The sequence below is a fragment of the Homo sapiens genome, chromosome 13, assembly GCF_000001405.40.
Source record: "Homo sapiens chromosome 13, GRCh38.p14 Primary Assembly".
In the NCBI taxonomy this organism is placed as follows: Eukaryota; Metazoa; Chordata; class Mammalia; order Primates; family Hominidae; genus Homo; species Homo sapiens.
Genome location: NC_000013.11, coordinates 70,818,501 through 70,828,725, shown reverse-complemented (window position 1 = coordinate 70,828,725; position 10,225 = coordinate 70,818,501). Strand labels below are relative to the sequence as shown.

The window sequence follows — 10,225 nt, the reverse complement described above, 5'->3', positions numbered from 1 at the left end:
TGAGTTTCACTATATATGAAATGGTGCTAATCGCTGATTTTCAGGGAAATGCAAATGAAAACTACATTGAGATATCACCTCACACTTCTTAGAAAAACTAGTATGAAAACCTTAAAGATAACACATGTTGGCAAGGATGTGGAAAAAAAGAAACGGTGGCTGCACATCATCGGTGGGAATGTAAATTGGTTGGCCATTATGAAAAGTGGTATGGAAGCTCCTCAAAAAACTAAAAGTAGGACAGCTATCATTTATTAAAGCACCAAAAGGGGTTCACTTGTGTAATCGTTGTCAAGACCTCTGGAAATATCCACTCTGTTTAGAATATTTTAATAGGAGTATAATTTTTTGTACATCCCATAAATGTGCAGGATATATATATATACACACACACACATATATATACATATATTTAGACACACAAACACACACCATATATATGAGGTAAAGTTTTACTATTTATAATATTTTTCTCCACTTGTAGTTTTAGGAAGAATTTATTTGTATCAGGTCAGGATCTTTCTCCAAGCATTATCCATAGACAAGAGGGATGAATGAAATATGGTCTGAGTTCTTGCATGCACTCCAGTGAGTTTATTTTACAATGGCAGGTGAATTTTACTTTGACTGTTACAGGGTTTTACATTTCTGACCCTTTCTCTCATTGGTTGATAGATGCTACTCTATTCTTATTTAGCTTCTAATGTTTGAGAAGAGAACATGAAAGTTTAATGCGATTTCCTTTGTTAGTAAGTTTTTCTTTCTGCCTAAGAAGCTGTAAGAAATTCTCTTTATACTCAGATTTCAGGAGTTACAAAAGGTTGCACTATAACAATTTTAAAATTTTCTATGTTGAATTGTGAATATGTATTACCTTACAAATGGTCTTTTAGGTAATATGTATGTGCTCAAGCTAGCAAAGAAAATTCTACCTAATCTAAATATACCATAAGTAATTTAGAATAAATGCTCAATGAGAAGAATGAGTGTTCCCTGAGAAGGTCAGCAGGACACTGAGAATAGTCCGTATATGGTTGTACCTAACTTGGGAGATTCACCACTGCCCATTGTTTGTGCCTTGAAGTTGAGAAAATTATTTTGTTCATGACCCAAAGTTGACCCCACACTGGATAATGCTTCAATCTGAAAAAATAAAACAGAATATAAACATAATAATTAATAATAAGTAAAAGAATAAATGGAAACACAAATTGTTGGAATTAGTTTAGCTATCATATGTTTCTCCCTGTAGACAAAACACATTCAAAGCCACATTATCAGTATATAATATAGTTAACATCAATTCACTTAAGAATTAAAAATATTATTTATTGAAACTCTGCCTTGTGTCAGATACTTTCCCAGGTGAAAGGGATACATTAACAAAGATAGGCAAGATTGCTGCCATCAAGAAGCTTATATTCTAGTGGAAAGTACAGATATTTTACAAATAGCAATAAACAGGGAGATAGATCGATAAATGAATGTCGTATTACTAGTACAAAGAGGCTTACAGGTTTTGGAGATCACAGAACATGGGGACATAACATAGTTTGGAGACAAAAGTATTCATGTCCTGAGAAGATGGTGTTCAAGCTAAGATCTGAAAATGGTTAATTGGGTGAAAAGTTTAGAAGAAGCACATTTGAAAGAGAAGACTGCTTATGTGCAAACACCAAGGTAAGGAAGAATTTGGCTTTCAAGTCACTGAAAGGAGGCTCCTAAGGAAAATATCCCTTTCCTTGTATTAAAACAAAACAAAACAAAACAAAAACAAAAAATGACAAAAATAATATAAATGCTTGATAGAGTATAAACTGTGCAGGGGCAAAAACGAAAGTGAAGAGACCAGGAATAGAAGGGAAAAAAGCCTATGCAAGTTAGAGTAGGGTTATATTAGAGCAGAGGAAGAGACATGAAAAGCTTTACATCTATTTGGAAATTGAAAGCACAGAATGTAGAAAGTAAAGCAGATGAGAAAGGCAGATTATATAAAGATTTTAAGTTTGGGCAAGCTAATGTGTGAATGTAATATAAATGTAGAAATGTTAAATAAGCATTTGAATATATTGCTTGAAACTTAGAAGTAAGATATGACCTAGCAACACAACTTCAGCACCACTGGTATAAAATGACATCTACACCCATGAGGACAGCCAAGATTTTCTAGTGAGTCAATAGAGAGTGAGAAATAAAGAGAGTTCAGGACTAAACCAGAGGAAACTTTAAAAGGTGGTAAAAGAAGTAGCTAGCAAAGGGGACTAAGAAGGAAAAGAAATGTAAGAGAGAAATAAGAAAAATGTTGGAAAAGTAGATTTTGTAAAAAATGTAATGCATGCTTACAGAAAACTAAAGAGAATTGACATTATTTGAAGAATAAATTAATCTTTAATATGTTAATCATTACTATGAACTATAACTATATTATCGCAAGTTGTGATATATATATAAATTATGTTCCATGTTTAGTGTGAATATAACTTGATGACTAATAATTAATTGCTAAAATCAGTATAGATTGGGTTGATTGGTGAATTGAGTGATAGATGAAATAGAGACTATGTGTGTGGAATACTTTTTTAAAAAGCTATGGTAAAAACAAAAAAATATGCAGAGAAGAAAGAAAATGAAATGAAGTTGGAGGACAAGTGTGTGCTCTTTTTCAAAATGAAAGATATTGTAGCCAGTTTAGATATTAGTTAAAATTTTCCAGTAGAGAAAACCAGTTTTTAAAATACAGAAGAGAACGGAAATGAGCAATTTAAAAGTGGATGGGATTTGCGGTGATTTGGACATTAGAAAAGAGTTCACTCTCTGTGAGTAGAGGGAAAAATATGATGGAAAAGGTTACCAAAATGGCTTATATCTCTGACAGAAAATGAGAAATTTGAATTCTATGCCTATGTTTTCTGTTTTGCTTTTGTTTTTGTATTTCCTTAGCAGAGTATGAAGTTACGAGAGATATTCTGAGGAAGGGAGGGAGAATGAACTTGAGAAGTTAAAAAGTAGAGAATAAAATATTGCAGCGAATGAGAGAAGAAACTTACAAGAGAATTTTATTAAAATTTTAAGAAAACATTGTCCATTTTAGGATGATGATCACGAATGTACAAAACTTCCAAAATTCCCAATTTTCTGATTTTATCAGAGAAGAGGGTCTTTTGGCTTCCATCAAGATCATAGTGTTCCTGGCAGATATGTGATGAGGGGAGAAAAACAAGGAAGCTAAAGCTGTATGTGAAACGAGTGATTCAAATAAAGACCTGTATTGGAATGCCACTTTCACTGCTGGGAAAAAAAAAAACAAAAAAGGAGAAACTGTTAGTGGGTTAAGTAAGACAGAATTTTTTGTGAAAGTGTCAAACAAAGTCAGTCCATAGTTCATATCACAAGTTTTTTAGTGGTACGGATGAAAGTTTTCTAGCTCTTTATTTTGCCAACCTCTACATCAGTTTCTAAAGTCTAGGAGGTATGCCAGCTGCCACCATCACATCTACCTTCTAGCCATAAGGAAGGGGAAAAAAAGCAAAAAGAACATCTAATCCTTTCCAAATCCAAAATTGGCCCAATCCAAAATTTGAAATAATCACTTCTGTTCCATTGCACAGAACACATTTATATGACCAAATCTAGCTGCAAGAGAGCTTAGAATATATAATCTCTTTCTTATTGTCCTTATACCTAGCTATAACTATTACCAGTGACGAACGGGGAAACTAGTAGTCTCTGTCATAAGCACTATGGAGTATATGCTGAAAACATAGGAGACAAGAGAAAGGAGAGGATACTATCTAGGTAACAACTTTCTCATGTATTTACCTCACTTTTCTTTAGAGCAAAGTTTTCAGCAAATAACATACATTTCAAGTATGAATATTGCGCAGTGAAGGATTACCTCAGTGGGTTTGGAGTGCTCAAATCTGCACATTCTGAAGAAAATAATAAACTAGAAATGACATTTATATTGGATTCAAAAGGAGTATGATAAATTCAAAATAAGTATCAAATTTGGTGTATTATTATGAGTTTTTAAAATCATAACATGTTATGATTTTAAATCATTAAAATTTATTTAACAATAAAACCATGGATTAGTCCATAACAGGACTAAATTATGAGAACATGATCTAGCTTCAAAAGTTAATGAAAATATAATTAGTATTACTTGTGCCACATGTAGCTGAAAAGAGTTGTAAATCCTATTAATCCTTCTTAGTTCACAAATTATTGACCTGATAGGCAATAATCTCTTAGCTTTATTGTGTCAATTTAGCTTAAGCATTTGAACATTGTCTTGAGCTAAAAATTCTTCCTTATTACTTCAGTGTTTTGAAGAAACAAAGATAATTTGAAAATAAAGAACAGATAACTCCACAGGAAAAAAACTTTATAAAAATATGTGTAAGTATATGAATATACATACATTGATATACACACAAATATATGATGTAAGAAACAAGATATGTGAATATAAACTCTTTGAATTCAAAATGAAGAAATTCTATCAAAAATACTTTTGAATTCCTGAGTATAATGGAATTATACTTATTAAAGTATACTTGTAATTATTAAAATGTATTAGGCATTAATACATACAATAATTAAGATTTTTATTTATTATATTATATTAGAAGTATATATACACTTTGGAAATTTCTTCAGCGTATTCCAGTCAGTTAAACAGAGTGTAATATGGAAGTGACATATTGCAGTGAAATTAATACAAACTTGGGGTGAAGGTGTTAGGTTTATATTCTAGGGCTCTTTACTACCACCTGGATAATTTTGGTTGTATTTTAAATCTTCAATATTTTTATAATATCTCATCTGTAAAATTTGGTTGATAACAGGTACCACACCTTTTGGTTGTGTGGCGTGACTTACTGCCTCAAACTATCAGTGAAAACTAGTTGAGTCTGAATCTGTTAAGGAGTGGTGCTCTATATTTTTTGAATGTTCACTTAACCTTTAGAGTGGAGCTCCTGACTTGCTACTCTTGACGCTTCTCATCTTCTATCAGGATGTGTTTTTCAATGTTATGTTAACTTGTTGGGTTCTGTGCTTTAAATGCCATTCAGCTACTCATACATGTATGTATAATATATCTATATCTCTATATCTCTATATATCTATATTTATATATGTTAGCATTTCTCTTTAAACTCACTAATAAAATATGCTCTTGAAAGTAACATTCACTTAACTTCATTTGTCGTTAGGCCTTACAATGAAAACTTTTTAATTAAGAGACATAGCATAATGTTCATTAGTTGAATCTGTTTATAGTAATGAACCCACATCTAACACTTTTAAATACGTTGGCTCACACAAATAGACTGTGATAATACTCATTTAACTTATGATGAAAATGAATCTAGAAATATAAGTGATCACTAATATACTTTATAATTTTATCACACCATAAGCATAGACTTTTATTAGCTTCAATTGAAGGGTGAATTAGAACTCTCTGAGTTACAAAATATAGGAATCCTTCTCAGGCTAACTTATGCTGAAGAAGAAATTAATAAAGTCAGGTAAAAGCAAGTTCACAAAACTATCATTACCATCGAGGGACAAATATTAGAGATAATTCTGATTGGCACAATCACTGTGCCTAAAAAAAGTTATCACTGCTGGATTGGTGATTAGCCAGGCCTGGACCGTATACTGTTCCCTGCGGCTCTCTTTACTGAAGAGAATATATAAAGAATAAGAGAAAAATTACAGTCACAAGTGAATGCAGATTGAAAAAACAAATGTGTCCTCTTCATGGGAAGTCACCTGTCATGTAATATTTCAATGATGTTGAATAAACAACATGTGGCATTTTCTCTTCTTTATCAAATTGGAAATTATATTCTGTGGAAACTGGAGTAATGAGCACCCATATAATTACTATATTAGATTTCGATTGCTGTCATAACAAATTGCTACAAATATAGTGCTTTAAACAACACTTAAGTATTTTCTTATGGTTTCTGTAGGTCAGAAGTCTAAAATGGTGTGACTAGTTTCTCTGCTCAGATTCTCATCAGACTAAAATTAAAGTTTAGACAGGACTGTGGCCCCCAAATGAGACTTAGGGGTCTCTTCCAAACTCACTGCTTGCTAAATTTATTTATTTCTCACATCTTCCACGTGTTTCCTTCCATTACACTCTCCTGTCAACCCCCCTTTCTGACTGCTTTCCAATAAAACTATAATTATATCGTTTATTTGTTTTGAAGTGCCCATTTGATCACAATGGTATTTATGACAAAATTTAAACTCCCTGGCTTAGTCTACGAGATTATTAATAATCTAAGTATGGATTATTTTTCTAGCATGGAGTAGTGCTATCCTCCAGTGATACCCTTTATACAGGTGTAGGTGTCTATGTAACTGTTTGCATGTGCTAAAAGTGACAGAATCTCCTATTCTTTACTATTTTAGCACATAGACTCAGGGACTGAATGCAATCTCTTCCCTACTTGTGGATAATTTGCACATACCATTGAAAACTTAAGTCAAAATGTGATTTTTGCCTTTTTGGTGTCTGCTCTCTATATTACAATCAAACAAACAAACAAACAAAACAAAAAAAACCTTAATTATTTTCATAGGCTTACTCATTTATTTCTATTATTGATGTATCTATTTGGTCTTCCTTGTTGCCCCTTAGGTTATCATTTCATATGAAACTTGGTTTCACCAGTACCTAGCCTAATAGGTATTATTAAAATGTTAATTGAATTAATAAAAAAAATAAAAGTAGTATGGAGGCTGTGGCAGGAGAATCGCTTGAACCTGGGAGGCGGAGGTTGCGGTGAGCCAAGATCACACCGTTGCACTCCAGCCTGGGCAACAAGAGCGAAACTCTGTATCAAAAAAAAAAAAAAAAAAAAAAAAAAAAAAAAAAGAGTTGTATATGTATCAGCATGCCCATTTCCTATAGACAAGCTTTCAGGGCCAAATTAAATGATTTTGGTTGGAAAAGTGTGATAATAAAGGCTCCCCCAAAGATGATTAGATACTAATCATCACAACCTATGGATATGTTACCTTAAAAAGAGATTTAGCAGATATGATTAAGTTAAGGACCTTGAGATGAGGAGATCATTCTCAATTATTAAAATTGGGCCCAATATAATCACAAGAGCCCTTATAAGGGGAAGATAATGGAATCAAAGAAGAAAGAGATGTTACCAAAGAACCAGAGGTTGGAGTGAGCAGTGATACACTTTCAACACTGGGGAACCATGAGGCAAAGACTGCAGGCAGCCTTTACAAGTTGGAAAGGTGTATGGAAGTGGATTTTCCCCCAAAACCTTTAGAAAGATTGAAGCCCTGCCAATTTCTTGAGGTTAGACATCTGCTAGTAGACTTTTGTTGTTTTAAACCCATAGATTTGTGGTAATTTGTACATAGGCAATATATAATTAATATAAAGTAATTATAAGATGTAGAAAGTTACCTGACAATATGCATACATCTAATCCCATTGACAGTAAAAAAAACTTTCTATGTTCATGTTTACAGCAAGCATAGTCTTGCCCTGGATACTTGAAAAATAAGTCCCATGAGCTAAGACACCACCTGCTTTAGACAATTCCGAATACCCAGTGTAAACATTTCTTCCTTGATTCCCTCTATCCTTTTACTTTTCATTTCAAAAATGTAATTATATTATTTCTTTGCTTAGACTATAATCAAGCTCAGTTTGTAAAAGTCAAATACTCTTGTTGTGGGAGGCAAAGTAATATTTTTGTTTATTTTATCAGATATCAGTGTTATCCTCCAAATCAGAGTTTTGGAGTCACCTTTCTTAAGCTTTTATGAGATATAACAAGTTGCATTATTAAATGGGTTACCTCTCTAAATATCAGAGTTATGACACATCATTTTCCATTTTTAAAACCATATGCATGTAGATGCTGTGGTTCTCCATTGATATCAGTATTTGTGGATTAAAATGCATTTTTTTTAAAAATAAAGGAAATACATAGAATCTTTGAGAGCAGGATAGTGTCCATAAATTTTTGTTTCAGATTTTAATTTTCTCTAATGATGTCAAGAATTTTACACTTCAAGCTTTGCTCTCCTTGTTTTAGTTTGAGCTTATAATTTCTTGTTTATTAGGGAGAATTCTCACCATCACATAAATAAAGAACTATTAAAAATACATGAAACAGTCATTACATGAATAACATTCATAATGTCTCTTAAAATTTCTATGCCATGAAAGCTGTATTGGTTGCGTCTTTTGTAAGAATTAAAGTTGGTTTCAAAAAGCAAATGATAGATGATGACAAGGTTGAAGTATGGCAATACTAGGGCATCTTTTTGTTACATTGATATACATTGAATGTGTGCCCTCTCAACTGTCATTTTCCTTATCTCGTCATTTTCATTGCTTCCATTTTTTATAATAAATTCTCTACATATTCTTAGTCTGTTTCAATCCACCTTAATCCAATATGTTTGTGACTGTAAGAAGTTGTCATTTGAGGACACTTAGAGAGATGATGTCCATAAAAGGATATTTTTCCAGTGGTATAATTAACAATCTCATATGCACATCTCTAATAATTTTTTAATAGCTGAAGTAAAATTTGTTCCAAAAAGATAGAAATATAATTACAATTTTGTATTCAAATTATTTAATAAAATAGATTGTAGTATTCAGTCTGATCATCCACATGGGCAATAAGGATTAAACTAGCACTTCAGAAAGTTACTCCAGTTCTTAAAATTTTGGACGTTTAAACATTTTTATCGATAATTCTTACTAATGTTTCAAGTATTTAGTATTATTTATTTAGACCAATACTTAGGGATCTACTCATTCTTTTAATATATTTAGAATGGGTAAAATTGTGAAAAATATATTTAGAATGTATAAAAATTACAATATATTAAGAATGTATAAAATTGAATAGATGGTTGTTAAGGAATATAAAATTGTATACAAACCTTCATAAACGGAATACACTAGCATTCCCAAATTTCTGATAATGAGTATAGAAAATTTGCATTTAAGTTGTATATTGAAGCAATATTCTGCTAATGCTTTTGTATTATTTTGTCATTTGTCAGAAGAAATGTCAGCTCACTGAACAATGAACATTTAGGTATCTATCATAGTTCCATATGACCAACTTAATTTTGTTTGAAACTAGATATAATTTAAAGCCTAAGAATCAAATGCATAATCAGACACCAAGTCATATACTCAGTTTTGTATTTCAATTATTAAGCATTTACTTTTTTTTTCTTTCTGGGATAGGAATTTGCTCAGCCTCCCAGGCTGGAGAACAGTGGCATGGCCATAGCTCACTACAGCCTTGAACTCCTGGGCTCAAGCTATCCTCCCGCCTCAGCCTTTCTTTCTTTCTTTTCTTTTGTTTTCTCTCTCTCTTTTTTTTTTTTTTGTTTGTTTTTGAGACGGAGTCTCTATCGCCCAGGCTGGAGTGCAGTGGCGCGATCTCGGCTCACTGCGATCTCCGCCTCCCGGGTTCACGCCATTCTCCTGCCTCAGCCTCCTGAGTAGCTGGGACTCCAGGTGCATGCCTATACTTTTAGGAGAGAGGGGGTTTCACTGTGTTAGCCAGGATGGTCTCTATTTCCTGACCTCGTGATCCGCCTGCCTCGGCCTCCCAATTCAGCCTTTCAAATAGCTAGGACTACAGGCACGTGCCACCATTCCCAGCTAAAAAAGCATTAAAAGTATTTCCTTTTAATATATGAATCTTTATTGTCCTTAGAGGTGAAGCAACATTACCTGTTGACCTTCCTCTCAGCCCCCATGTACTACTAAAAACACCACACAGAAGCTGCTTTCTACTTCCCAAATGTTCTCTGGGTGATTTACATATACTACATCTTTTAATCATCACAAAACCTCAGTCACGTCTATATTATTTTTTCAGTTTTTCCGATGAGAAAATTGAACTTTTAGTCAGATAAATGACCTCACTCAAGACCCTGCAGTTAGTGACTGGTAAAGCTAGGATTCTTCTTCCTGTCTACTTAATTTTAGAACGGTGATCTTGACTATGAACTTTTATGGCTTAGAGCTCTCAAAACTCTCTCCGTTCTAGGACGACACCTAGTTTAGGACAGAGCACATATGAGAAAGTTTAACATAACATTTTGAAATTTAACATTGTTAGTGCACTACCCTCCAAGTGTTTCCTGACCAAAAAGTGCAAATCGTTTTTCTCAGCTACTTTTTAAGATTCTC

At 32.9% G+C, this 10,225-nt stretch overlaps 1 long non-coding RNA gene across 1 annotated transcript in view; it reads right to left on the bottom strand.

Annotated features, from left to right (window-relative positions):
• Positions 1–788: 788 nt before the first annotated feature.
• The window catches only part of LOC105370255 (uncharacterized), a 62,160-nt gene continuing 52,723 nt past the window's right edge, over positions 789–10,225 (bottom strand). Inside the window, exon 4 of the long non-coding RNA XR_942058.2 lies at positions 789–1,143. This is a non-coding gene — a long non-coding RNA (uncharacterized LOC105370255). The remainder of the gene's footprint in view (positions 1,144–10,225) is intronic.